General features: G+C 45.4%; 1 protein-coding gene across 1 annotated transcript in view, besides 6 other annotated features; it reads left to right on the top strand.

The window, feature by feature from the left end:
• Positions 938-1,017: an enhancer, noted in NCBI's record as "active region_20489". NCBI's record gives its function as "activates an Ori minimal core promoter by ATAC-STARR-seq in GM12878 lymphoblastoid cells {active_cell/tissue: GM12878}" and the evidence as "EXISTENCE:reporter gene assay evidence [ECO:0000049][PMID:35858748]".
• Positions 1,178-1,447: an enhancer, noted in NCBI's record as "active region_20488". NCBI's record gives its function as "activates an Ori minimal core promoter by ATAC-STARR-seq in GM12878 lymphoblastoid cells {active_cell/tissue: GM12878}" and the evidence as "EXISTENCE:reporter gene assay evidence [ECO:0000049][PMID:35858748]".
• RPN1 (ribophorin I) overlaps positions 1,411-27,627 on the top strand; it is a 30,850-nt gene continuing 4,633 nt past the window's right edge. Inside the window, exons 1-8 of the mRNA NM_002950.4 lie at positions 1,411-1,689; positions 7,246-7,310; positions 14,124-14,430; positions 20,072-20,281; positions 22,086-22,278; positions 25,397-25,496; positions 26,217-26,355; positions 26,576-26,695. Of these exons, the coding sequence (NP_002941.1) occupies positions 1,429-1,689; positions 7,246-7,310; positions 14,124-14,430; positions 20,072-20,281; positions 22,086-22,278; positions 25,397-25,496; positions 26,217-26,355; positions 26,576-26,695 (1,395 nt within the window). The 5' untranslated portion in view covers positions 1,411-1,428. The remainder of the gene's footprint in view (positions 1,690-7,245; positions 7,311-14,123; positions 14,431-20,071; positions 20,282-22,085; positions 22,279-25,396; positions 25,497-26,216; positions 26,356-26,575; positions 26,696-27,627) is intronic.
• Positions 1,698-1,967: a silencer, noted in NCBI's record as "silent region_14709". NCBI's record gives its function as "represses an Ori minimal core promoter by ATAC-STARR-seq in GM12878 lymphoblastoid cells {active_cell/tissue: GM12878}" and the evidence as "EXISTENCE:reporter gene assay evidence [ECO:0000049][PMID:35858748]".
• Positions 2,118-2,187: an enhancer, noted in NCBI's record as "active region_20487". NCBI's record gives its function as "activates an Ori minimal core promoter by ATAC-STARR-seq in GM12878 lymphoblastoid cells {active_cell/tissue: GM12878}" and the evidence as "EXISTENCE:reporter gene assay evidence [ECO:0000049][PMID:35858748]".
• Positions 6,300-6,799: an enhancer, noted in NCBI's record as "H3K4me1 hESC enhancer chr3:128364273-128364772 (GRCh37/hg19 assembly coordinates)". NCBI's record gives its function as "activates a minimal SCP1, AML or CMV promoter by ChIP-STARR-seq in naive H9 embryonic stem cells {active_cell/tissue: H9 hESC(naive)}" and the evidence as "EXISTENCE:reporter gene assay evidence [ECO:0000049][PMID:30033119]".
• Positions 6,800-7,301: an enhancer, noted in NCBI's record as "H3K4me1 hESC enhancer chr3:128363771-128364272 (GRCh37/hg19 assembly coordinates)". NCBI's record gives its function as "activates a minimal SCP1, AML or CMV promoter by ChIP-STARR-seq in naive H9 embryonic stem cells {active_cell/tissue: H9 hESC(naive)}" and the evidence as "EXISTENCE:reporter gene assay evidence [ECO:0000049][PMID:30033119]".

Here is a 27,627-nt window from a genome sequence, read left to right as displayed (position 1 = left end):
CCTATTAGTAGATACCTAATGTTACTATATTTTATATGTGGTGATGTTAACTTTGATCACTTGTTTAAAGTGGTGCCTGCCAGGATTCTCCACTGTAAACTATTTTTTCCTTTGTAATTACTAAACATTTTATTTTTATTTTTTAATTTCCTTTTGAGAGGGAGTCTCGCCCAGTCGCCCAGGCTGGAGTGCAGTGGCACGATCTTGGCTCACTGCATCTCCTGCCTCCCGGGTTCAAATGATTCTGGTACCTCAGCCTCTGGAGTAGCTGGGATTACAGGCACGCACCACCACACCCGGCTAATTTTATTTTATTTATTTATTTATTTATTTTGAGAAGGAGTCTCACCCTGTCGCCTAGGCTGGAGTGCAATGGCGCGATCTTAGCTCACTGCAACCTCCGCCTCCCAGGTTCAAGCGATTCTCCTGCCTCAGCCACCCCAAGTAGCTGGAATTACAGGCGCCTGCCACCACGCCCGGCTAATTTTTTGTATCTTTAGTATAGACGGGGTTTCACCATGTTGGCCAGGCTGGTCTCGAACTCCTGACCTCAGGTGATCCACCCGCCTCGGCCTCCTAAAGCGCTGGAATTACAGGCGTGAGTCACCGTGCCCGGCCTAATTACTAAACATTTTAGTAGAGATGTTTTGAAACTTTGCATATATCCTGTTTCGGCTTCAAGTTCTGCCTACTAATTTTAGCATTCATCCGTGGATGTTGGGGAAGGCCAACTTTTACTTTCTCAATCTGAGCAAAATTTCACTGTTTTAAGGAGCAAAACGAGCAGAATTATTGGACAGGAAGAATGGTAGGAGAGAGTAGAGACCTAGGCAAGGGCCGCTCCTGTAAAAATTAGGTAAGTGAAAACTAGTAATAATAAGTACACTCGCGGCTGGGCGCAGTGGCTCACGCTTGTAATCCAGCACTTCGGGAGGCCGAGGTGGGCGGATCACGAGGTCAGGAGATGGAGGCCACAGTGAAACCCCATCTCTACTAAAAATATAAAAAAAAATTAGCCGGGCGTGGTGGCGGGCGCCTGTAGTCCCAGCCACCCGGGAGGCTGAGGCAGGAGAATGGTGTGAACCCGGGAGGCGGAGCTTGCAGTGAGCTGAGATCGTGCCACTGCACTCCAGCCTGGGCGACAGAGCGAGACTCCGTCTCAAAAAAAAAAAAAAAAAAAAAAAAAAAAAAAAAAAAAAGTAAGTACACTCGCACTACGAACAGAAGGATATCCCGAGCAGCTCTGAGAGGGCTTTAGCAATCAGGCGCCGGGTCGGCTTCCCGGTTGCCCCGGAGACAGGGTCCTTCCTTGTTCGGCGCCGCCATCTTGTGTCACCAGCCCTTGCCCAATGAACGGCTGCTCAGTGGCGGGAGGGCGGGCTACCGCGCCCGGGCCCTACCCGCCCTGGCGCACTGCTCTTCCCGGTCATGGAGGCGCCAGCCGCCGGCTTGTTTCTGCTCCTGTTGCTTGGGACTTGGGCCCCGGCGCCGGGCAGCGCCTCCTCCGAGGCACCGCCGCTGATCAATGAGGACGTGAAGCGCACAGTGGACCTAAGCAGCCACCTGGCTAAGGTGACGGCCGAGGTGGTCCTGGCGCACCTGGGCGGCGGCTCCACGTCCCGAGCTACCTCTTTCCTGCTGGCTTTGGAGCCTGAGCTCGAGGCCCGGCTGGCGCACCTGGGCGTGCAGGTGAGTGTGGGCGACCCCTCGCCGCCGCTCCCGGGACCCTTCCCGCCTCCCTTCCTGGCGGTCCCCCGACTCCGCCCGCGCCCCTCTAGGCCTCAGGAAATGCGGAGACCCGGGCGGCGGGCGGGGCACAGGGGGTCCGTGGGATTGCCTCGGGGCCCGCGAGGAGTCCTGGGTGGCCAGGGGCCCCGGCGCCTCCGCTGCCCCCGGTGCGCGCCCGCCCTCCTGCCTGGGCCACGTCAGCACCGGCCTGCCCCCGCGCGGGTCGCTGCTCACGTGGGCAGCTGCTGGGATCCGCGGCCGACCAGCCTCGGAGCTTGCCCCTGTTTGGGCCGTTCTCGGCACCGCTCGGGAGACCTCGGGCCGGTAGAACGCACCTCCCTTCCGTAAGGCGAGCGCGGCAGCCCCTCGGCCCGGTGCCAGCGGGCGCCAGACTTCATTTCTCACGGCCCGACGAGGTGGCTCAAGTAGAGGACAAATAAATGAATTAAAGTGAATTTCATTCTCTTAATTCAGTATCTGGTCCGTTGTAGGTGCTTCTTTCTAGACATAGAGAACCATCAGAAATGTAACAGGTTTCGCATTTTTAAGTTGGTAATCACTTGAAATCCCTATGAATGTGATGCATTTTAAGGTTCCTAGTGAACGCTTTCTAAATGTTAAAACTCTTTTTAAAGTTAGTTTTAAAACTCCTGCACGTAATATAAGTTCTCTTATGCTGTACAGAAAAGGAAAGTCCAATTTTCTCCCTTCCCCCTGCTGCTTCTCATTCTTACACCTCGGCAATAAATGGCTGTGTTTGGCTTAAATGTTTCCAGGTATTTCAGTGATCACCAAAGAAAATGTTGGGTTTGGGAGTAAAGGGAATGTACATACACAGAGGTTTGGTTTTTATTACTATTGTTGTTAAACAATTTCATTAAATGATTACCTAATTATTTGTTGAGAGAATAGTCATTATAGTGTCACATTTCTTCTAAGCACACTTCGTTCTCTGACTGAATATGGAGCTATAAAGATGGGTTTATAGAGATTACGTTTCTGAAATGACTCCTATTTTCTTTCATGCGTTGTCCATGATGAAATAAAGTTTTACTCAAAGGCTTGTGGAAAGATAGATCAAAACTTCATGTAAATTTGCCTTGCCATCTTTGAATGTCTTGAATGTTAAATCCCGTTCTTTATAGAAGCCAGTTGTGATTTAATGAGCTTGTTACAGTATAAGTGGACCACAGCAGGAGCTCGGCTATCCTGCCATCATGCCTGCGAGCTAGGTTAATGTACTTATTTTATCTTGTTTTTATTTTTTCTCCCAACTTTATTGAGGTATAATTGGTATACAAAAAACTGCCTATTATTAGTATATTCAAAATACGTATACACTGGTGTAACCATTACCACAATCCGGGTAATAAACATATCTGTCACCTCCAGAAGTTTCCTTTTGTCCTTTAGTTTGTTTGTTTCTGTGGTAAGATACTTTCTTACTGGGACTCTACTGTGTGTCAGATATTATGGTGGGTATTTTAAATATATTCTCATTTAGCCCTCATAGCAACCATTTAAGGTATAAATCCTCATATAGCAGGCAAGGAGGCTGTAGTCTGTCAGGTTAAGTTATTTAGCCCCTTACATGCGGTCTTACAGTGCAGAGTAAGTCAGGGCTCCAGCTTATTCCGTAAGTTGTGTGTTCTCACACTGTATAATGTTGCCTCTTCTGGCTTTTATGGCTGTGAGATAGGATTGTATTGGGTATAAGACTTGCAGTCACATTAACAGATTTATTTAAAATCATTTTCAATTTTGTAGTCCAAGACACCAGTTAAATGGATATATGTGCTATTTTGTACTCCTATCCCAGTGGGAAACAACTGGATGATAAACTTAACAAGGAGATGTATATTTTCCAACAGTTGTGTTGGAAACTGATGAGGTTGCTGAAATGTTTTTCAGTGGGTTCTTTTCTTTTTCTTTTTTTTTTTGAGACGGAGTTTCACTCTCGTTGCCCATGCTGGAGTGCAATGGCGCTATCTTGGCTCACTGCAACCTCTGCCTCCTGGGTTCAAGCAATTCTCCTGTCTCTCCTCTGGAGTAACTGGGATTACAGGTGCATGCCACCACGCCTGGCTAATTTTTGTATTTTTTTTTTGATGCAGAGTCTTGCTCTGTCGCCAGGCTGGAGTGCGGTGGTGCAATCTCGGCTCACTGCAACCTCTGCCTCCCAGGTTCAAGTGATTCTCCTGCCTCAGCCTCCGGAGTAGCTGGGACTACAGGCGCGTGCTGCCACGCCCAGCTAATTGTTGTATTTTTTTTGTAGAGACAGGGTTTCACGCATGTTGGCCAGGATGGTCTTGATCTCTTGACCTCATGATCCGCCCACCTCGGCCTCCCAAAGTGCTGAGATTACAGGTGTGAGCCACTGCGCCCGGCCAATTTTTGTATTTTTAGTAGAGACAGGGTTTCATCATATTGGTCAGGCTGCTCTCGAACTCCTGACCTCAGGTGATCTACCTGCCTCGGCCTCCCAAAGTGCTGGGATTGCAGGCGTGAGCCACCATTCCTGGCCTTCAGTGGGTTATTTTCAAACCCTTGTAGAATTTTAGGAGCTAGCAGAAGGGACCATGGTGGTTACTGACTAGGAGCCAGTGGTTGCTTCTCTTTTTACCACCAAGGACCCATCTAATGATTTTTCCTCTCTTTTGGATCCTGTATCTGAAATATTTTGGCATGCTAATATTTTATTAAGTAACAATATTTTTCAATAAAACAAATAAGTCTGTATAACTGAACACAATGAGAGTTCCTGATACACACACATATACTAGAATGTTCCTTTTTTTTTTTTTTTTCTTGAGGCAAGTTCTCAATCTGTTCCCCAGGGTAGAGCACAGTGGCCCAGTCAGAGCTCACTGCAGCCTCGAATTTCTGGGCTCAAGCTATCCTCCCACCTAGCCCCCTGAGTAGCTAGGACTACATGTGCGCACCACTACGCCTGGCTAATTAAGAGCAATTTTTTGTTTTTTCAGAGATGGGGTCTTGCTGTGTTGCCCAGGCTGGTCTTCAACACCTAGCCTCAAGCAGTCCTCCCAAAGTGTTGGGATTACAGGTGTGAGCCACTGCACTTGGCCTGGCTGGAATATTCCCACTGTGATAAGATTCTAGTCAAAGTAATGAAACTTGTTTGTATTAGACTGTACAGCTTTATTGAGGATGATTGTATGATTGTTTTTAGGCTTTTTGATATATTTTAAAAGTTCTCCAATACAGCTTTTTGTATCTTACTGGGAATCACTACTTCAGTCCTAAAAGATAGTCTAATTTTTGTTTTTTTCAGTTGAGGGTGGGTTGGCAGAGAGATCAGTGGGATATGTATACCCTTCTCCCTTGCAGTCTGCTCCACAGTCTTATGATTGGAGATAACTACTCTTTCTCAGAAAACCCCTGCAGCCTGCTGGAGTGAACATCCTTTTCCTGGTTATGTATCTTGTTGCTGTGAGGGTACCCCAAACAGTGGTCATTGGCTCCTCCCCAAGGGTATTTTGCCACTGTTAACCATTTTTTTTTTTTTTTGAGAGGAAGTCCCACTCTGTTGCCCAGGCTGGAGTGCAGTGGCACGATCTCAGCTCACTGCAACCTCTGCCTCCCAGGTTCAAGTGATTCTCCTGCCTCAGCCTCCCAAGTAGCTGGCCTTAAAGGTGCCTGCCACCACACCCAGCTAATTTTTTTATTTTTAGTAGAGATGGGGTTTCACCATGTTGGCCAGCTGCTCTCAAACTCCTGACCTCAGGTGATTGGCCTCTCAAAATGCTGGGATTACAGGTGTGAGCCACCGCACCCGGCCAACTTTTTTTTTTATGAGATGGAGTTTCACTCTTGTCGCCCAGGCTGGAGTGCAGTGGCATGGTCATGGCTCACTGCAGCCTCCACCTCCTGGGTTCAAGCAATTCTCCTGCCTCAGCCTCCCAAGTAGCTGGATTACAGGCACCTGCCACCACGCCCAGCTAATTGTTGTATTTTTTAGTAGAGATGAAGTTTCACTATATTGGCCAGGCTGGTCTCGAACTCCTGACCTCAGGTGATCCGCACCCCTCCTCTGCCTGTCAGAGTGCTGGGATTACAGGCGTGAGCCACCATGCCTGCCCAGTTTTAACTTTTATATTAGTGAAGAAACAGTTTTAGGCTGGGCGTGGTATCTCGTGCCTGTAATCTGTGGGAGGATCGCTTGAGCCCAAGAGTTCGAAACCAGTCTGGGCAACATAGGGAGATCTTGTCTCTACAAAAATAAAAACCCATGAGACTTTTTTTTTTTTTTTTTTTTTTGAGACGGAGTCTCACTCTGTCGACCAGGCTGGAGTGCAATGGCACGATCTCAGCTCACTGCAACCTCCGTCTCCCAGATTCACGAAATTCTCCTGCCTCAGCCTCCACACGCCACCACACCCGGCTAATTTTTTGTTTTTTTAGTAGAGATGGGGTTTCACTATATTGGCCAGACTGGTCTTGAACTCCTGACCTCGTGATCCGCCCACCTTGGCCTCCCAAAGTGCTGGGATTACAGGTGTGAGCCACTGCGCCCAGCCCTGAGACTTTTCTATTACATCACTAAATACATTTCTTTGAGTATGCTTATTTGAATGTAAATGAGAAAAGCATCAAGAAAGAGGCCTTTGGGAAGTATATTTGGAAGTGTAATCTTTTTGTGTATGTGTGTATTTCTTTTTTTGAGACAGAGTCTCGCTCTGTCACCCAGGCTAGAGTGCAGTGGTGGTGCAATCTCGGCTCACTGCAACCTCTGCCTCCCAGGTTCAAGTGATTGTTCTGCCTCAGCCTCCCTAGTAGCTGGGACAACAGGCGAGCGCCACCACGCCTGGTTAATTTTTGTATTTTTCGTAGAGACGGGGTTTCACCATACTGGCCAGGCTGGTCTCAAACTCCTGACCTGGTGATCCTCCCGCCTCAGCCTCCCAAAGTGTTGGGATTACAGGTGTGAGCTACCACACCCAGCTGTGTGTATTTCATCATTCAGGAAAATGTTACGCATTTATAGCGGTTTTATGCCACTTTTTTTTTTTTAGATGGAATTTTGCTCTTGTTATGCAGGCTGGAGTGTGATGGCGCCATCTCAGCCGGCTGCAACCTCTGCCTCCCGGGTTCAAGCAATTCTCCTGCCTCAGCCTCCCGAGTAGCTGGGATTACAGGCATGTGCCACCATGCCTAGCTAATTTGTATTTTTAGTAGAGATGGGGTTTCTCCATGTTGGTCAGGCTGGTCTCGAACTCCTGACCTCAGGTGATCCGCCCACTTTGGCCTCCCAAAGTGCTGGGATTACGGGTGTGAGCCCCTGCGCCTGGCCATATGCCACTTTGTAAAAGTAAGTCTTTGACAATATTCTTGTGTTTCAGAGAAAAAAAAATTGTTACTGAAAAGAAAATTCAATCTCTAAAAAGTTCTGATAGTTTGACTGCTTTAATGGGGATGTTCTAAAGCACTTGGTTAATTATTGACTCAAAATTTAGAAGCCAAAAGACATGAATAATAAACTATCTTTTTCTGTTGTAGGTAAAGGGAGAAGATGAGGAAGAGAACAATTTGGAAGTACGTGAAACCAAAATTAAGGGTAAAAGGTAAGCTGACAAACAATATACCTTGTCTCTTGTTAAAGGTTATGTCAGGGTTGGGATCATATGGGATCATAAACTAGGAGAGTTGCTTAGGAAGTGCCTGCTTTATTACAGGGTTTTTTTTTTGTAGAGAGGAGGTCTAGCTATGTTGCCCAGGCTGGTCTTGAACTCCTGAGCTCAAGCCATCCTTCTACCTTGGCCTCTCAAAGTGCTGGGATTACAGGTGTGAACCACTGCATCTGTCCTAGAGGATTTTTTTTTTTTTCTTGAGACAGGGTCTGTTGCCCAGGCTCCATTACTGTGGTGCCATGTTGACTCACTGCAACCTCCACCTCCAGGGCTCAAACCGTCCTTCTCCCTCAGCCTCCCAAATAGGTGGGACTAGAGGTATGTACCACCACACTTGGCTAATATGTGTGTGTGTATATGTATGTATTTTTAGTAGACACCGGGTTTTGCCATGTCACCCAGGCTGGTCTTGAACTCCTGTCCTCAAGCAGTTCTTTGCCTCCCAGAGTCCTAGGATTATAGGCGTGAGTCCATTACGCCCCACCGAGGATGTTTTAATTAATGTATGTGATAATAAGCAACATGCTGTAATATATTCTGGACTCATTTATGACTTCTCATTACTAATGCTGAAATTGGATTCCCCTAAGCAGTGGCAGTTTGTTTTATAGGAAGAAAGTAGTTACTTTCTATATCAGATCAGTTCTCCCTCCTGGTTCCACAGAGCTTTATGTGAGAACTCCAAGCTGTTTGCCTCAGCAAGTATTCTCCTATCTATGATTGGCTACCATTCTGCTTCCATGGGGCAGACAACCTTCCCCCTGGATATCTCACCCCTAAGCCTTCAGGGCATTCAAAGTGGTAACTTCTTTGAAGGCCTACTGTGAAGGCTGGGTGGGGTTAAACTTGCATAGTTGTTTGCTCAGACCTCAGCACCTAGCGTGGAGCCTGGAACTTATTAGTTATTATTATTATTATTTTTTGGAGACAGTGTCTGTTGCCCAGGCTGGAGTGCAGTGGTGCGATGGTTCAAGTGATTCTCTTGCCTCAGGCTCCCGAGTATCTGGGATTACAGGCGTGTGCCACCATGCCCGGCTAATTTTTGTATTTTTTTTTTTTGAGAGAGTTTCGCTCTCTTTGCCTGGGCTGGAGTGCAATGGCGCAATCTTGGCTCACTGCAACCTCCTCCTCCCGGGTTCAAGTGATTGTCCTGTGCAGCCTCCCGAGTAGCTGTGATTACAGGCATGCACCAGCACACCTGGCTAATTTTTGTATTTTTAATAGAGATGGGGTTTCACCATATTGGTCAGGCTGGTCTTGAACTCCTGACCTCAGGTGATCTGCCGCCTCGGCCTCCCAAAATGCTGGGATTACAAATGTGAGCCACCGTGCCCCACAAGTTTTGTGTTTTTAGTAGAGACGGGTTTCCCCATGTTGGCCAGGCTGGTCTCGAACTTCTGACTTCAGGTGATCTGCCTGCCTCAGCCTTCCAAAGTGCGGGGATTACAGGTGTGAGCCACCACTCCTGGCCCCATAGTTTCAATTACTGTGTGATCCTACCTATCTTTGTTTTTTTTTTTTTTTGGAGATGGAGTCTTGGTCTTGTTGCCCAGACTGGAGTGCAGTGGCGTGATCTCGGCTCACTGCAACCTCAGCCTCCTAGGTTCAAGCGATTCTCCTGCCTCAGGCTCCTGAGTAACTGGGATTATAGGCGTCCGCTACCACACCTGGCTACTTTTTGTATTTTTAGTAGAGATGGGATTTCTCCATATTGGCCAGACTGTTCTCCAACTCCTGACCTCAGGTGATCTGCCCGTCTTGGCCTCCCAAAGTGCTGGGATTACAGGTGTGAGCCACTGCTCTTGGCCCTTTTTTCTTTTTTCTTTTTTTTTTGAGACGGAATTTCCCTCTTGTTGCCCAAGCTGAAGTGCAATGGCACGTGATCTCGGCTCACTGCAACCTCCGCCTCTGGGGTTCAAGCGATTCTCCTGCCTCAGCCTCCCAAGTAGTTGGGATTAAGGCGCGTGCTACCACGCCCAGTTAATTTTTTGTAATTTTAGTAGAAATGGGGTTTCACCATGTTAGCCAGGCTGGTCTCGAACTCCTCAGGTGATGCACCCGCCTCGGCCTCCCAAAGTGTTGGGTTACAGTTGTGAGCCACTGCGCCTGACCCCTTTTTTTCTTGTATGTGAGTATATCTATTCTTTTCTTTTTTGTGAGTTGGAGTCTCGGTCTGTCACCCAGGCTGGAATGCAGTGGTGCGATCTTGGCTCACTGCAACCTCTGCCTCCCAGGCTCAAGTGATTCTACTGTCTCAGCCTCCCGAGTAGCTGGGATTACAGGTGTTCACCACCACGCCCAGCTAATTTTTTTGTATTTTTAGTAGAGAGAGGGTTTCACTATGTTGGCCAGGCTGGTTTTGAATTCCTGACCTCAGGTGATCCACCTGCCTTGGCCTCCCAGAGTGCTAGGATTACAGGTATCAGCCACTACCTGGCCACCTTTTTTGTTTTCTGTGTTATCTTCATAGTTGTCTTTCTTTGGTTGTTAAGTTTAATCCTTGAATTACTTTGAGTTCATGTACAGCAACATCCTCTCAGGAGCCACATTTTAATGCGTGGTGATTATCTCAATTTTTCTTGGTGATTATCTTGATTTTCCACTGAGTGTATGAAGTAGGCATCTCACCAGCCCCGAGGCTGTAAGATCTGAGAGTTAGCTTTAAATAAGTCGCTATTAAAATTGCTTTCTCTTGCTTTAAGAGACTCCTCTCCCTCTCTGAGGCTGTCTGAGTACCCTGTCTGTGTTTATTGGCTCTAGCTGCTGGCTTGTAGCGTCTTGGATAGGCAAGGTAACTTAGTTATTAGGACTGTGCTTTTTGCATCTTTACTGCCTGGGATCAAATCCTAGCTCTGTTATGTTTACTAGCATTTTCCTCAGTTTCCTCATCAGTAAAATAATAGTGTTTACCTGATATGATCATGGCTAAGAGTCACTAAATTGGCCAGGCGTGGTGGCTCACGCCTGTAATCCCAGCACTTTGGGAGGCCGAGGCAGGCAGATCACCTGAGGTTGGGAGTTCGAGACCAGCCTGACCAACATGGAGAAACCCCATCTCTACTAAAAATGCAAAAAAGTTAGCCAGGAGTGGTGGTGCATGCCTGTAACCCCAGCTACTCGGGAGGCTGAGGCAGGAGAACCACTTGAACCGGGAGGCAGAGGTTCCGGTGAGCCGAGATTATGCCATTGCCAGCCTGGGCAACAAAAGCAAAACTCCGTGTCAAAAAAAAAAAAAAAAAAAAAGATTCACTAAATCAATATATATATAATGTACTTGGAGCCTTAGTAAGCACTTAATAAATTTTGAATTAATCACAAAGAAGGCTAATGGAATGGAAGGAACATTTCAGGCAGAGATATCTGTAAAGATACGGAGGGTTGACATTTCATGGTGTGTTTAGTTAACTGGGCTTTCAGAGTGGCTCTTGCTCAGAGGAAGGTGAAGCTGTGTAGGGTGGGTTGAGTTCAGTTTAAGGACTGCTCTGAACCATTATTAAAGGCGTGGGCTTTATCCTTAAAGCCCACAGTTGGGAACATTAAAAAATTTTTTTTCATAGCTTACCATTTTATTCATTTCTAGTTATATGTGCATACATTATATGAATTTGTCTTTATCACCTCTTCCTGCCACAGAAACTGACCTATATGGGGTTCTCAGTAAATCAGTTTGAGTACATGAGTAAAAAACCAAGTCATTCACACAATGTTCTCCCATTAGATCCAGCTAGAGAAGAGCTTTAGGAAAAAAAAAAAAGACCTGCTCCATGTACATCAGTTTAGACAGTTCTGTGTTGTCTAGCCTTTTATTGATTGAAAAACCTTCATTAGCTGGTGCTTCCACATTTTGGTAAGACTTGATGTTCCTAATGATCTTGGAGTGCTGAAAGGTTCTGATTTGTCTTCTGAATTATCAAAGCAAAATTAAATTATGTGGCAGCATTTAACAACTTGTAAAATGAATGTGGGAATGTTGATTTGAGATTGTGTAGATGGGCTGGGGGGAAGGGAGATTAGGAGATTAATAGGAAGAGATGCAGTAGTCTAGGCACATGGTATTGGTTTGAATGGAGGAGGAGGCAAAGGAAGGGATGGGTCTGAGAGGAATTTCTGAGGCAGGATTGCCCAGGTATTGGGGACAGGGCAGAGTGAGGCATCAGAAGATGCCTGGGTTTCTAGCTTAGAGTTGATCAGATGGCAGTGGTATTAAGAGAGATCAAGACTTGGGATCATGAATGATAAGGTTTTGTTGAATTGCATGTGGGGTGGTCAGTGGAGCTGTCTAGTAAACATTTGAAAATTTGATTTTAGAATTCAGGACAGAGAGTGGGATGAGAAGCACATTTGGGACTTGAAACTAAGAATTGGTTAAGACTGTCCTGAGGAGAAGATTCCGCTACTTATATTTTGAGTAGTGAACGTCACAGTTGTAATATGAAATATAATGGTGTGACTGATAAAGACATGCAAGTTTTGTGTTCTATAAAGTCATATCAGGAAGAGTGATCCATGTTCTCACCTTTGAGGACAAACTCATTGAAGCTTATTAATTCAATTTTTCACTAGTGGTTTCTACGTCTTCTAAAAATTGTTCTCCTGGCTTGGAAAACTGATTCAGTTTAGAATTAGTACCCTGTGAATTTTAAGTTTCCAGGCCATCTGTTTTTCTTTTTTTTCCTTTTTTGAGATGGATTCTCGCTCCGTCACCCAGGCTGGAGTGCAGTGGCACAATCTCGGCTCACTGCAACCTCCGCCTCCCAGGTTCAAGCAATTCTCCTGTCTCAGCCTCCCGAGTATCTGGGACTACAGGCGCCTGCCACCACGCCCGGCTAATTTTTGTACTTTTAGTAGAGACAGGGTTTCACCTTGTTGGTAAGGCTGGTCAGCCATCTGTTTTTCTTTAAAATATTAGTAGCTTTATTTTTTTCTTGATATGAGGATGATACAAGCTCCTTATAAGACAAATTAGGGCCTGGCGCAGTGGCTCATGCCTGTAATCCCAGCACTTTGGGAGCCCGAGGCGGGTGTATCACCTGAGGTCAGGAGTTCAGACCATCCTGGCCAACGTGGCGAAATCCCCTCTGTACTAAAAACACAAAAATTAGCTGGGCGTGGTGGCGGACGCCTGTAATCCCAGCTACTGGGGAGGCTCAGGTAGGAGAATCACTTGAACCCAGCAGGCGGAGGTTGCGGTGAGCCAAGATTGTGCCATTTCACTCCAGCCTGGGCTACAAGAGTAAGACTCCGTCTCAAAAAATAATAATAATAAAAAATAAAATGAAATTGGAAAAGACAAACTAAACTTATTCTACAACCTTGAGACAGTTACCATTAACATTTTGTTGAACATTCCTTGAAATACTATTCTTTACATTCATTCATTTTTTTTTTTTTTTTTTTCTTGAGACGGTATCTCGCTCTGTCGCCCGGCTGGAGTGCAGTGGCACGATCTCGGCGCACTGCAAGCTCCGCCTTCCGGGTTCACATCATTCTCCTGCCCCAGCCTCCTGAGTAGCTGGGACTACAGGTGCCCGCCACAACGCCCGGCTATTTTTTTTTGTATTTTTAGTAGAGATGGGCTTTCACTGTGTTAGCCAGGTTGGTCTTGATCTCCTGACCTCGTGATCCACCCATCTCGGTCTCCCAAAGTGCTGGGATTACAGGCGTAAGCCACCCTCCCCGGGTCTATGTATGTTTTTAAATGGAGTTATTCTTTGTCATTTGTAAACAGATTTTCGTTATTTACATTGTACATGGACATCTTTCCATGTTAATATAGATATGTAGGTTAGCCATATTTCTAATGACTGCCAATATTCTATTGTGTGAAGCCATATTTCTAACGACTGTCAGTATTCTGTTGTGTGGTTCTATTAAAATTTTTTTTTTTGAGATGGAGTCTCTCTCTGTCACCCAGGCTGGAGTGTAGTGGCGCTATCTTGGCTCACTGCAACCTCCGCCTCCCGGGTTCAAGTGATCCTCCCACTTCAACCTCTCAAGTAGCTGGGACTACAGGTGTGCACCACCACGCCCAGCTAATTTTTGTATTTTTAATAGAGACAGGGTTTTGCCATGTTGGCCAGGCTGGTCTGGAACTCCTGACCTCAGGAAATTCACCTGACTTGGCCTCCCAAAGTGCTGGGATTACAGGCATGAGCCACTGCACCCAGCCAAGAGATCACCTTTAATATAGTAATTTAAGTCTTTTATTAACAGGACATGGTGGCAGGTGCCAGTAGTCCCAGCTACTCGGGAGGCTGAGGCAATAGAATCTCTTGAACCTGGGAGGTGGAAGTTGCAGTGAGCTGAGATCATGCCACTGCACTCCAGCCTGGGCGACAGAGCAACACTCTGTCTCAAAAAAAGAAAAAAATAATTTAAGTCTTCTAAGACAGATATGTAGCTGTTTCTCTCAGGGCTGTTTATAAATAGCAAGAGTGTAAAACAGTGTAAATGTTCAACAATGGAACAAAAGTTAAAAACATTCTAATAGGTAATCCCAGCTATTCGGGAGGTTGAGGCAGGAGAATCGCTTGAACCCAAGAGGTGGAGGTTGTGGTGAGCCGAGATCGCACCATTGCACTCCAGCCTGAGTGATAGAGTGAGACTCCATCTCAAAAAGGAAAAGGTGATCTCTTAAAGATAATTGCTTTTGTCTTTGGTTCAAAATTTTGTTGTGACTTTGAACTGCTACTACTGTTTTCAGTATCCTCAGTCTCTCTTACTTCTCTTGCCTTGTTCTTCCTTTAGTGGGAGATTCTTCACAGTCAAGCTCCCAGTTGCTCTTGATCCTGGGGCCAAGATTTCAGTCATTGTGGAAACAGTCTACACCCATGTGCTTCATCCGTATCCAACCCAGATCACCCAGTCAGAGAAACAGTTTGTGGTGTTTGAGGGGAACCATTATTTCTACTCTCCCTATCCAACGAAGACACAAACCATGCGTGTGAAGCTTGCCTCTCGAAATGTGGAGAGCTACACCAAGCTGGGGAACCCCACGCGCTCTGAGGACCTACTGGATTATGGGCCTTTCAGAGATGTGCCTGCCTATAGTCAGGTAAGCTCAGGTGGAGTCCAGCCCATCCCTGTCTGCTTCAGAGAATGTCTTGCAGAGTGACTACTGGTTGATAGGCTTGGGTGGTGTGGGGTGGATGAAATCTGCAGTCATTTCTAAGGTCATCCCAAAAGTGTTTAACCTGCAGTGAAATGACTCCATGGGGGTCTTGTTTCTCCTTGGGGGATCACAGGTAGAGGCTAGGGGTAGCATTTGGAGAGGTGGAATGGGTGTTGGAGATGGAAGCAAGGCATTCCACGCAGAGGCAGTAAGAGGGACAAAGGCTTTGAGATGGTGTGGCTGGGCAGATACTGGGGTAGCAAAGCTGTTGGAGTGGTTGAGGGCCTTCCTTGAATGTTGGGCCTTGGTTGGAACTTGAAGAGAGAGGGAGCAATTAAGGCTTACAAAGATTTTGTTACTATGGCAAATCGCAAACATGCCAAAGTACAAAGACTAGTATAAACTCCCACACACGTCACTTAGATTCAGCGGTTATCAGGTTACCATAATTAACCTACCTCTTTTTTTCTTTGGTGGAGTACTTAAAAAAATTTTTTTTTTTAAGAGACAGGATCCTGCTCTGTTGCCCAGCCTGGAGTACAGTGGCATAATCATAGCTCACTGTAACCTCAAACTCCTGGGCTCAGTCCATCCTCCCAGCTCAGCCTCCCATGTAGCTGGAGTGACAGGTGTGCGTCACCATGCCCAGTTAATTTTTTATTTTTGTTGTAGAGACGGGATCTTGCTTTATTGCCCAGGCTAGTCTCAAACTCCTGGGCCCAGGTGATCTTCCTGCCTTTGTCTCCCAAAGTGCTGGGATTACAGGCATGAGCCATGGTCCCTGGCCTTTTTGCTAGAGGATTTTAAAGCAAATCTCAGCAGTCATGTCTTTTTACCTACTTCTATACCATCTCTAAAAAATATGGGTATTTTAGACGTTTAAGATTTCTTTGCACTGGGTGCAGTGGCTCATGCCTATAATCCTAGCACTTTGGGAGGCCAATATGGGAGGATTATTTGTGCCCAGGAATTCAAGACCAGTCTGGGCAACATAGTGAGACCTCATTTTTACAAAAAATAATAAGCTGGGCATGGTGACACACTCCTGTAGTCTCAGCTACTTGGGAGGCTGAGGTGGGAGGATTACTTGAGCCCAGGAGGTTAATGCTGCAGTTAGCTATGATTGCACCACCCCACTCTAAAAAAAAGATGTCTTTGCATCTCTCTGTGTGTTTAGAACATGTGTCACCAAGGATGTGCAATCAAAATACTTTGTTCTAATGCTACTTGAAATAATTGTTTCTTTTTTTTTTTTTGTCTTTATTTTATTTTATTTTTTTTGAGAAGGAGTCTTGATCTGTCATTCAGACTGGAGTGCAGTGGGGCGATCTCAGCTAACCGCAACCTCTGCCTCCTGGGTTCAAGCAATTCTCCTACCTCAGCCTCCTGAGTAGCTGGGATTACAGGTGCCCGCTACCACACCTGGCTAATTTTTGTATTTTTTGTAGAGACGGGGTTTCTCCATGTTGGCCAGGCTGGTCTTGAACTCCTGAGCTCAGGTGATCCGCCTGCCTCGGCCTCCCAAAGTGCTGTGATAGCAGGTGTGAGTCACTGCGCCCAGCCTGTTTTTTATGTTTCAAATGTCAGTTTGATACATAGTTAGGGCTGTTCGTTTTGGGTTGTTTTAAACTTTTAAGAACTTTTTATTAACATAATTTTTTGAATATGAAAACAACATGATTTCGTAGTCAAAATTACATATAACAAGTTATGTGTAACAAAATCATATAACAAGTTATATGTAACAAAATCATATATAACAAGTTATGTGTAACAAAATCATATATAACAAGTTGTATGTAACAAAATCATATATAACAAGTTGTATGTAACAAAATCATACATAACAAGTTGTATGTAACAAAATTATACATAACAAGTTTTATATAACAAGTTAAAAGGCCAGGTGCATATATATATATGTATATATGGCCTTATATATATAAGTGCACTTATATATTTATATATATACACACACGTATATATATAAGGCCAGGTGTACCATTTTGTTTTTTATATATACACGTGTGTGTGTGTGTGTGTGTGTGTGTATATCTATAGATATCTATAGATATCTATATATATATATATATATATATATCTATATATATATATATATATATATATATCTCAAGTTATAGGGGCAGGCGCACTGGCTCACGCCTGTAATCCCAGCACTTTGGGAGGCTGAGGCGGGCAGATCACTTGAAGCTAGGAGTTCAAGACCAGCCTGGCCAACGTGGTGAAACCCCATCTCTACTAAAAATACAAAAATTAGCTGGGTGTAGTTGCACTCAACTCTAGTCCCATCTACTAGGGAGGTTGAGGTACGAGAACTGCTTGAACCCAGGAGGTAGGGGTTGCGGTAGCCAAGGTTGTGCCACTGCACTCCAGCCTGGGCAACAGAGCAAGACTCTGTCTCCAAAAAAAAAAAATAATAGAGAATTCTTGCTTCCAATTCTCCCATTCATTTGTTCTCCTTGGTAACCATTTATGTTAGCTTTAGGTTTATTCTTCTAGTGTTTCCTTCTAAATGTATGAGGATTTGTAGTAAACATACTTATATTCCTCCATGTCTCAAAACATAGCTCCCTATGTATATTGTTGCACGGTGGGGTTGTTTTTGGGGAGAGAGAGGGTCTCTGTGCCTCCTGTTGTGGTTGCAGAGTGCCCAGGGCCCACGTGCCCACTGTGAAGATGACAGCCTTGCCACTCTGAGCTGTGCTTTCTCTAACTGCATGATTTCTTTTACTTACTTCAAACTGAGTGAGAGTTCATGTTGGGACACTGATTTGATTTTCCTCTACGCAGGCTTTTAAAAATATAAATATTTGGGGTTTTCCACTTTCCTCCATTTTAAGTTAATAGAACGTTCATGAGAGGCTGGGTGCGGTGGCTCAGGTCTGTAACCCTGGCACTTTAGGAGGCCAAGGTTGGCGGATCACGAGGTCAGGAGTTCGAGACCAGCCTGGCCAACATGGTGAAACCCCGTCTCTACTAAAGATAAAAAAATTAGCTGAGCATGCTGGCGTGCACCTGTAATTCTAACTACTTGAGAGGCCGAGGCAGGAGAATCACTTGAACCTGGGAGGTGGAAGTTGCAGTGAGCCAAGATCGCGTCATTGCACTCCAATCTGGGCGACAGGGTGAGAGTTTGTCTCAAAAAAAAAAAAAAAAAGGTTTATGGAGACCATTTGGCAAAAAGGAAGATTTGAGGTCAGTTCACAACCACTATCGACACTATGGACATTTTAGTACCTGAGTCGTGTCTAAGCATAGGGCTTTTTAATGTACTTATTATGCTTATTGTCATATTATGTATAAAGTATTGTGTAATACCTTTGCCACTTAGAATATTCTCTAAACATTTTACATATTACTACATTACCTTTGTCAACCTTTTTTTTTTTTTCCTTAAGACAGGGTCTTACTCTCGCCCAGGCTGGAGTGTAGTGGTGCAATCTCAGCTCACTGCAACCTCTGCCTCTTGAGTTTAAGTGATTCTCCCACCTCAGCCTCCCCAGTAGCTGGGACTTACAGGCATGTGCGACCATGCCTGGCTAATTTTTGTATTTTTTGTTAGAGACAGGGTTTCACCATGTTGGCCAGGCTGGTCTCAAACTCCTGACCTCAAGTGATCTACCCACTTTGGCCTCCCAAAGTGCTGGGATTACAAGTGTGAGCCACTGTGCCCGGCTGGCCTGTAAACAGTTTTTTTGTTTTGTTGTTTTTGTTTTTGTTTGTTTATTTGTTTTTTTTGAGAGACAGTCTCGCTCTGTTGCCCAGGCTGGAGTGCAGTGGCACAATCTCGGCTCACTGCAGCCTCCGCCTCCCGGGTTCAAGCGATTCTCCTACCTCAGCCTCCTTAGTATCTGGGACTACAGGCGCCCATCACCACACCTGGCTAATTTTTCTATTTTTAGTAGAGACGGGGTTTCACCATATTGGCCAGGCTGGTCTCAAACTTCTGACCTTGTGATCTGCCCGCCTTGGCCTCCCAAAGTTTCACTGTGCCCAGCCTGTAAACCGTTTTTAAGTGGCTGACTCACTGATTTGATGTCCTAGAGCTTATTTGCCAAGTTTCTATAGTTAAACAGTTTTTTTCTATTTAATATTATAATATACATCTCTGCATATTATACAAAAGTTATGAATTTTTGTATTCTCAGGATTTTCTGAAGTAATGTTTTTCAAATTGAAGGATATGAACATTTTAAAATCTCTTGCTGGTTGGGCACAGTGGCTTATGCTTGTAATCCCAGCACTTTGGGAGGTCAAGGTGGGTAGATTGCTTGAGACCAGCTTGGGGAACATGGTGAAATTCCATGTCTACAAAAAATACAAAAAATTAGCTGGGCGTGGTGGCATGCACCTGGAATCCCAGCCACTCATGGGGCTTGAGGTGGGAGGATTGCTTGAGCCCAGGAGGTTGAGACTGCATTGAGCCAAGATTGTGCCACTGTACTCCAGCCTGGGTGACAGAGTGAGACCGTTTATAATTTAAAAAAAAAAAGAAAAAAAAAGAAAAACCTCTTGCTGTATTTTGCCAAGTAGTTTTTCAAAAGATTTAATCAATTTTTTAGGATTCCAGTGTGTGAAACTGCCGGTTTCCTTATGCCCTTGCTTGTACTGGCATTAAATGCTATCAAATATGATTATGAGTGAATTGTAGTTTTAAAAATCTAGTCATAGAATGAGTGAATAAACTAGCGAATAAACTAGTTGTAAGAGCTAACAAAATAGATCTTGTCCTTTTCATGGACTTTTGGGAAGCAAGGTGTGTTGGGCCTTATTGAGAGGTAGTATTTACCACATAGAAGAGTGAAATCGGGCTGGGCACGATGGCTTGCTGGGCACGGTGGCTCATGCCTGTAATCCCAGCACTTTGGTAGGCCAAGGTGGGCAGATCACCTGAGGTCAGGGGTTCGAGACCAGCTTGGCCAACATGGTGAAACCCCATCTCTACTAAAAATACAAAAATTAGCCAGATGTGGTGGCACACGCCTGTAATCCCAGCTACTAGGGAGGCTAAGGCAGGAGAATCGCTTGAACCCAGGAGGCGGAGGTTGCAGTGAGCTGAGGTTGTACCATTGTACTCCAGCCTGGGTGACAGAGCAAGACTCTGTCTCAAAAAGAAAGAAAAAAAAGTGAAGTCAGAACTTAGCAGACCTTGTATTGCCACTTAGGTTTATGACCTTGAACAAGATATTGGAAACTGCCAGGGCTTGAAATTTTTATTTGTCAAATGGGGATAAGTAGTTCTTATTTCATCATATTGTCTTGAGAATGAGATGAGATAATGCACTTATTTAGAACTCTTACAAAACTGCCTAATACAATCAGCTCCAGACACATTATTTTTTTGTGTCCTATTTTTTGAGTTAATAATATATCATGAATATTTATTCCCATATGTTAGCAAGAAGTCCTAGTAAACATAATTTTAAAATGTTGCATACGTTAGATACATCATAATTTACCCGTTCTGTTGCTGATATATAGGTTGTCTCCAATCAATCTGATTTAAACTAATGGTGCATTCTCTGTTGCCAAAACTTTGAACTATTTGTTTCCTTCCTTCCAGGATACTTTTAAAGTACATTATGAGAACAACAGCCCTTTCCTGACCATCACCAGCATGACCCGAGTCATTGAAGTCTCTCACTGGGGTAATATTGCTGTGGAAGAAAATGTGGACTTAAAGCACACAGGAGCTGTGCTTAAGGGGCCTTTCTCACGCTATGATTACCAGAGACAGCCAGATAGTGGAATATCCTCCATCCGTTCTTTTAAGGTATGGAATGTTCAACTTGGACATTGTGAGAAATGAGGACTTTATCACAGCTACCTATTCTTTGCTTTTCGAAACTAGCTAAATATTTAGGCAGTTGTTTAGGGTTGACTGATGTTCATCTTGTTGATTGGCAGTGTTAGAAACCAACAGAATCTTAAAAAATACCCCCCCATATATATAGATAAGCCATTTTCTTTTTTTTCTTTGAGACAGAGTCTCACTCTGCCACCCAGGCTGGAGCATAGTGGCGTGATCTCTGCTCATTGCAGCCTCCGCCTCCTGGGTTCAAGTGATTCTTCTGCCTCAGACTCCTGAATAGCTGGGATTACACGCATGCACCACTACACCTGGCTAATTTTTGTATTTTTAGTAGAGACAGGATTTCACCATGTTGGCCAGGCTGGTCTTGAACTCCTGGCCTCAAGTGATCCACCTGCCTTGGCTTCTCTTTCTTTTTTTTTTTTTTCTTGAGACGGAGTTTTGCTCTTGTTGCCCAGGCTGGAGGGCAATGGCGCGATCTCGGCTCGCCACAACCTCCGCCTCCCAGGTTCAAGCAATTCTCCCGCCTCAGCCTCCCGAGTAGCTGGGATTACAGGCATGCACCACCAAGCCTGGCTAATTTTTTTTTGTATTTTTAGTAGAGACAGGGTTTCTCCATGTTGGACAGGCTGGTCTCGAACTCCTGACTTCAGGTGATCCGCCCACTTCGGCCTCCCAAAGTGCTGGGATTACAGGCATGAGCCACCGCGCCCGGCCGCCTTGGCCTCTCAAAGTGCTGGGATTACAGGCGTGAGCCACCATGCCCAGCCTAAACCATATATTTTTTTTTTTTTTGGAGACAGAGTCTCGCTCTATTGCCCAGGCTGGAGTGTAGTGGCACGATCTCGGCTCACGGCAAGCTCTGCCTCCCGGGTTCATGCTATTCTCCTGCCTCAGCCTCCCGAGTAGCTGGGACTACAGGCGCCCGCCACCATGCCCAGCTAATTTTTTGTGTTTTTAGTAGAGACGGGGTTTCACCATGTTAGCCAGGATGGTCTCGATCTTCTGACCTTGTGATCCGCCCGCCTCGGCCTCCCAAAGTGCTGGGATTACAGGCGTGAGCCACCGTGCCCGGCCTAAACCATATTTTTTAAGTGAAAATTTGAATAGAAAAAGGAAAAGCATATTCATAGTACTGCGCCACCCAAACACAGCTGTCATTTTGATCTATTTCTTTGTTCTTTTGTAGTGTTTTTAAAAAACATTTTATCATATTGCATATACAGTTTTTAAATCTTTTTTGTCCCATAAATGAAATCTTATAAACTTTTTTTTTTACTTATGTATGATAGAAGGGGTCAGTATGTGAACAAAGGTATTATACCTTCCTCCCATGATCAAAATACACTGACAGATTTGGAAGATACAATAAAGTATATCAGGTAGAAAAACCCTTTCTGTAACCCTACCACCTAGTAATTTGATGAAATTTCTTCCGTCTTCTATCTTTACTTTTCTTCTCTGCAAAATAACTTGCAAGATTATTTTTACCTTTGTATTAAGTCTTCAATGTTCACAAAGGTATTTGCATTTCCCTTAATTATTTACTGTTTAGAAGAATTTGGGTAGTTAGCACCCTTGATTGAGAAGTCGACGCAAACCTTTGTGGGGAAAGTTAGACTTTTTTAGGTTGTTTATGTTTGGGGACTATTTTAATTAAGTAGTACCATGTGAGGATCTTGGTGCAGGAAGTCTTCTGTGTTTAGGATCATTTCCTCTCAGCTGGTTCCTGGAGTTTTAGAAGGGCATATCCACTCTCTTGCAGACCATCCTTCCTGCTGCTGCCCAGGATGTTTATTACCGGGATGAGATTGGCAATGTTTCTACCAGCCACCTCCTTATTTTGGATGACTCTGTAGAGATGGAAATCCGGCCTCGCTTCCCTCTCTTTGGCGGGTGGAAGACCCATTACATCGTTGGCTACAACCTCCCAAGCTATGAGTACCTCTATAATTTGGGTCAGTCTTCAATAGTAAGGGAGAAACTAACCTTTTCTTTAATTTCGTGAATTTTTTTCTTTCAATTATCAGTCTTTATAGATGGGGTGTGTTCATTTGTCATTCTGAGGAAGGCTGGTTTTATCAGGAACAACTTTTTATAAGTGGGTACGAGTTAGTATTGTAAAAGTAATACATGCATTTGATAGTCAATCCGAACAGTATGTAAAAGTCTTCTTCTTACTTGCAGTTCTGTCATCAGATGGAACCGCTGAAATTCCTTTAAATAGTTTTTGAGTTATTTAAAAAATGAAAATTCAGAGAATAATAAAAAACACTTTTATATGAACACCCAGAACTAATGATTGAAAACATTTTGTCATATTTTCTTTCAAGTCTTTCTTTTTTTTGAGACGGAATCTCACTCTTGCCACCCAGGCTGGAGTGGAATGGTGCGATTTTGGCTCACTGCAACCTCCACCTCCTGGTTCAAGCGATTCTCCTGCCTCAGCCTCCTGAGTAGCTGGGATTATAGGTGCCCGCCACCACGCTCAGCTAATTTTTTGTATTTCTAGTAGAGATGGGGTTTCACCATGTTGGCCAGGTTGGTCTTGAACTCCTGACCTCAGGTGATCCACAGGCCTCGGCCTCCCAAAGTGCTAGGATTATAGGTGACAGCCACCATGCCCGGCCAAGTCTTTTTTTTAAACCTTTTTACTGAAAAATAAGATACAGAAAACCATACAAAAAATGTATAGCTCAGTGAATTATTATGAGGAAGACCTTGTGCCGCTCCCCACCCCCTCCTGTCAAGAAATCAAAATTTGCTAGCTACTCAAAAAGTGTTCCATGTACCTCTTCCTTCTCAAAGTCATTGCCCCGACTTTGAGTAATCACTTTCTTGAATATCTTTGTAGTTTTATCACCCAAGTGTATATCTCTACATACTATACCTTAGTTTTGCCCTTTTCAATCTATTCAATTTGCCTTATCTATTAATCTGCAGTTAATACCTACATCTGTTTTTCTTGGCTTGATCTTCACTCACTGCAACCTCTGCCTCCTAGGTTCAAGCGATTCTCTTGCCTCAGCCTCCCGAGTAGCTGAGACTACAGGCACCCGCCATCATGCCTGGTTATTTTTTGTATTTTTAGTAGAGATGGGGTTTAACTACGTTGGTCAGGCAGGTTTTGAACTCCTGACCTCAAGTGATCTGCTCGCCTTGGCCTCCTAAAGTGCTGGGATTATAGGTGTAAGCCACTGTGCCAGGCCTGTTTTTTCATTTAAAACTTTTCTGGGAGGCTGAGGTGGGAGGATTGCTTGCACTCAGGAGTTTGAGACCAGCCGGGGCAACATGGTGAAAACGGGTCTCTACAAAAAAATTTTTAAAAATGAAAAATTATCTGGCTCACACCTGTAGTCTCAGCTACTCGGGAGGCTGAGGCAGGAGTAACACTTGAGTCCAGGAAGTTGCCCTTTAGCCTGGGTGACAGAGCAAGACCCTGTCTCTAAAAAATAATTAAAGTTGCTTTTCTTTGCATTTATGTTAAAGCATTATTATTTGTTGTTATTCACTCTAATCCATCTTAATTAGCCTTAATTCCTAAAATGCCTCTTTTATTTCTAAATTTTTTTCCTGATTTCTATCATTTTTCTGAATTTTTCTTTTTTTTTTTTCTGTCTCACTTTGTTGCCCAGGCTGGAGTGCAGTGGAGCGATCTCAGTTCACTGTAACCTCCCAGGCTGGAGTGCATTGGCGCGATCTCAGCTCATTGCAACCTCCGCCTCCTGGGTTCAAGAGATTCTCCTGCCTCAGCTTCTGGAGTAGCTGGGACTACAGGCATGCACCACTACGCCCAGCTAATTTTTTATTTTTAGTAGAGATGGGGTTTCACTATGTTGGCCAGGCTGGTCTCGAACTCCTGACCTCAGGTGATCCACCCACCTCAGCCTTCCAAAGTGCTGGGATTACAGGAGTGAGCCACCGCGCCCGGCCTGAATTTTTCTAATTATTGTTTACATTGTTCTTGCATGACTTACATGATTTTATTAATACCTTTAGCTTGTTTTGGAATAGCAGGAGCAGTCTCCTGGTTCGTTTTTATGGGCGTCTTGCTGGCATGTTTTCATTTTCTTACAGGGGTGTTCTTGTTTTCATCCCATTTTTCTTATATAACTTAATCTTTTTTTTTTTTTTTTTTGAGATGGAGTCTTGCACTGTTTCCCAGGCTGGAGTACGGTGGCACAATCTCAGCTTACTGCAACCTCCACCTCCTGGGTTCCAGTGATTTTCTTACCTCAGCTTCCCAAGTTGCTGGGATTACAGGCATGTGCCACCACACCTGACTAATTTTTATAGTTTTAGTAGAGATGGGGTTTCACCATGTTGGCCAGGCTGGTCTTGAACTCCTGACCTCAGGTGATCTGCCTGCCTCTGCCTCCCAAAGTACTGGGATTACAGGCATGAGCCACTGTCTGTTGATCATTTTTAATGTGACCTTTCCGAAGGAGGGATGGTTTAGAGTGGCTTTTGTACCTTCCCAGATCTCTGCTATTTTAGTGCAAAAACATGTGGCTTGCTTTCTGAGCTTTCCTCTGTGCGGTTTTTGAGTTCCATTGTCCCTATCATGTTCATTTTTGATTGTGTTGAGCAGTTTCTCCTCACTGTAGGGCACTGTCCCAGAAGGGGAGTTCTGCTCTCAGGGACTAGACTGCTGCAGACTCGTAGACCTTCTGCAGGCCCGTTTCACTCACCATTAGGCAGGGCACAACTGCTCCGAGTTTCAGCCACTCCTCACACTGGCCTGCTGTGCTCTCTAGGGAATCCCGGTTGTGTGTTTTGGGGTTCTGCTGTTCTCAAGCCCATCAGTTGCCCTGTTTCTTCTCTCTGCGTTCTCCTTCACAGACACTGATAACGTGAAGGTCTTGTGGCTGTCGGTGTTTTGACCCCCATCCCTGTCTCTGTGTTGTGGGGTTCAGTAGAGATACTTTGTTGCCTGGTTTTGTTGTAAACATGGTCCGTGGGTTTTTGGTTTTGCTGTCTACTTGCTCTGTCTTTATGTGAGCCCCTGTACTTCTTTCTCTCCTGCCCATTTGATCCGTTTTCCACATCATTGCTTATGCTTGCTTGATCCTTCAGGTGACCAGTATGCACTGAAGATGAGGTTTGTGGACCATGTGTTTGATGAACAAGTGATAGATTCTCTGACTGTGAAGATCATCCTGCCTGAAGGAGCCAAGTGAGTGTGACTGTTCCTCTCCTTTGCACCCGATTTCTCTGGTTGTACCCTTGTGGTACCCTAAGGAGAGCCTATGTTCTAGGGGCACAGTCTTTGTGTCACTTTTCTCTAGATTTACTTTATCAGGGAACATCTACTTGGCCTCTCTTGAGTCACATGTCCACTCTGACTGCCAGAATGAGAGACCCCTTGATTTTCTTCCTGTGGAGAATGTTCCATAGTGGAAGAGTAGTTCCTCATGCAAATCCAGGCTGTGCTGTTTACCAGGAGAAGGGACAGTGGGCCTGGGCAGACAAAAGCAGGACATGTCCCCTGCCCCGTAAGAAGCTCTTATTCATGTGAAGAGAAAGAACATTCAGAACAGCTCGTGAGGCATCTGTTCAAGCCTCCCAGGGATTCACTGGGTAGGATGTACAGGAGAGCTGTGTCAACTTTGTGACTCCAAGGAGTGGGGCCAGTACTGGTGAGAACTTGGGAGTGGAGGATTCAGAGGGACAGTTGTTGCCCCAGCAGACAAGGGCTTTAAAACAAAGGGCTTTCTGGCACTGGCTCCCCTGTCTCAAGAGAGTGGGTGTTCTCCATAGCTGAGAAGGGAGCAGAGTGGAGGAGTGTGAATTTAGTGATCTTGAAAGGCTCCTTAGCCTTGGAATTCTCTGATCCTAAATCTGGTTTATTGATGTAGTTGGTTGGAGGCTATATTTTATTCCCATCTTCTTCCAGGAACATTGAAATTGATAGTCCCTATGAAATCAGCCGTGCCCCAGATGAGCTGCACTACACCTATCTGGACACATTTGGCCGCCCTGTGATTGTTGCCTACAAGAAAAATCTGGTAGAACAGCACATTCAGGACATTGTGGTGAGTGGCTCCACTGTTTGCCTTCCATGGCGTCTTCCCCAGACAGTGGGCTCTGGGGGCCAAGAACTCACCTTCTGTCCCTCCTTGGGCTGGAGTCATTTGAGCTCATGGCGTCTTCTGGTCTTGGGGTGGGGCAGCAGGTCGAGTGGGCCAGCCTGGGTGAGTCTAGGCTCCCATGTCCCTACAGCCCCGATGAAGCCTGTCCTCTTGCTTCTCCCAGGTCCACTACACGTTCAACAAGGTGCTCATGCTGCAGGAGCCCCTGCTGGTGGTGGCGGCCTTCTACATCCTGTTCTTCACCGTTATCATCTATGTTCGGCTGGACTTCTCCATCACCAAGGTACCGTCTCTGCCTTCTTCCTGCTTGTCATTTGTGTCCTTGGTAATATTTCACCAGCTTGAGCACTGATCCTCACAGTGAGCCCAGGGCAGGACGCCATGGCCAAAAGACCCCTGCCTGTGCTCATCCTTGCCGGAAGGGTACTTTGTTTTTGTTGCTTGTGGTCACTAGCACAGGAGGTTAAGTCCCTGCTTCTGTCTTGCTTTGGCTCTGGAGACAGAGTAACTTGGATGCTCAGTTGAGGTAGGAAAAACATGAAAAGATTGGTGCTTATTTAGCTGTTTTGCTTCTTGTTATTCAGTGGAACTTGGAGGTGGAAGTCCCCTCTTAGTCCCCTCTCCCTCCCCACCTCCCCCTTGGTGATTCCTTGTTGGGAGCAGAAACCACTGACCTGGCCCTGTCAGCACCGTTCTCCCCACTCCCACTCTCTGCTCCCTGACAGGCTCCGTGGCTCCTTGGTCCTCCCCAGGCTGCACTGCTGTTATCCTCAGGTCATCCTCTTGCTCTTTTCTTCCTTCCTTCCTCCATTTCTCATTCTCTCATTGTTCCTTAGGGCTCTTGGCTCCATGCCCCAGGGTAGGCACTAGTACCAGGCACTTATTGTAGTCAGGTGGGTGAGGCCTGGTGGAGGAGATGAGCACAGCTGGTGCTTGAGGACTGTGGAATGTGATGACAGGCACAGCGTGTGTTTTTTTTTTTGAGATGGAGTCTCGCTCTGTTGCCATGCTGGAGTGCAGTGGCGCGATCTCCATTCACTGCAACCTCTGCCTCCCGGGTTCGAGCGATTCTGCCTCAGCCTCCTGTGTAGCTGGGACCACAGGTGCGCACCAAGGGTGTGCTTCTAGTGGGGCAACTTGGGAGGCCCCAAGGCTACCCTGAGGAGGTGACAGGCAAAGAAGGTGGGGAAGGGCATTCAGTTGGAGGGGCTGATG

The sequence above is a fragment of the Homo sapiens genome, chromosome 3, assembly GCF_000001405.40.
Source record: "Homo sapiens chromosome 3, GRCh38.p14 Primary Assembly".
In the NCBI taxonomy this organism is placed as follows: Eukaryota; Metazoa; Chordata; class Mammalia; order Primates; family Hominidae; genus Homo; species Homo sapiens.
This window is presented reverse-complemented; position numbering and strand designations above follow the sequence as displayed.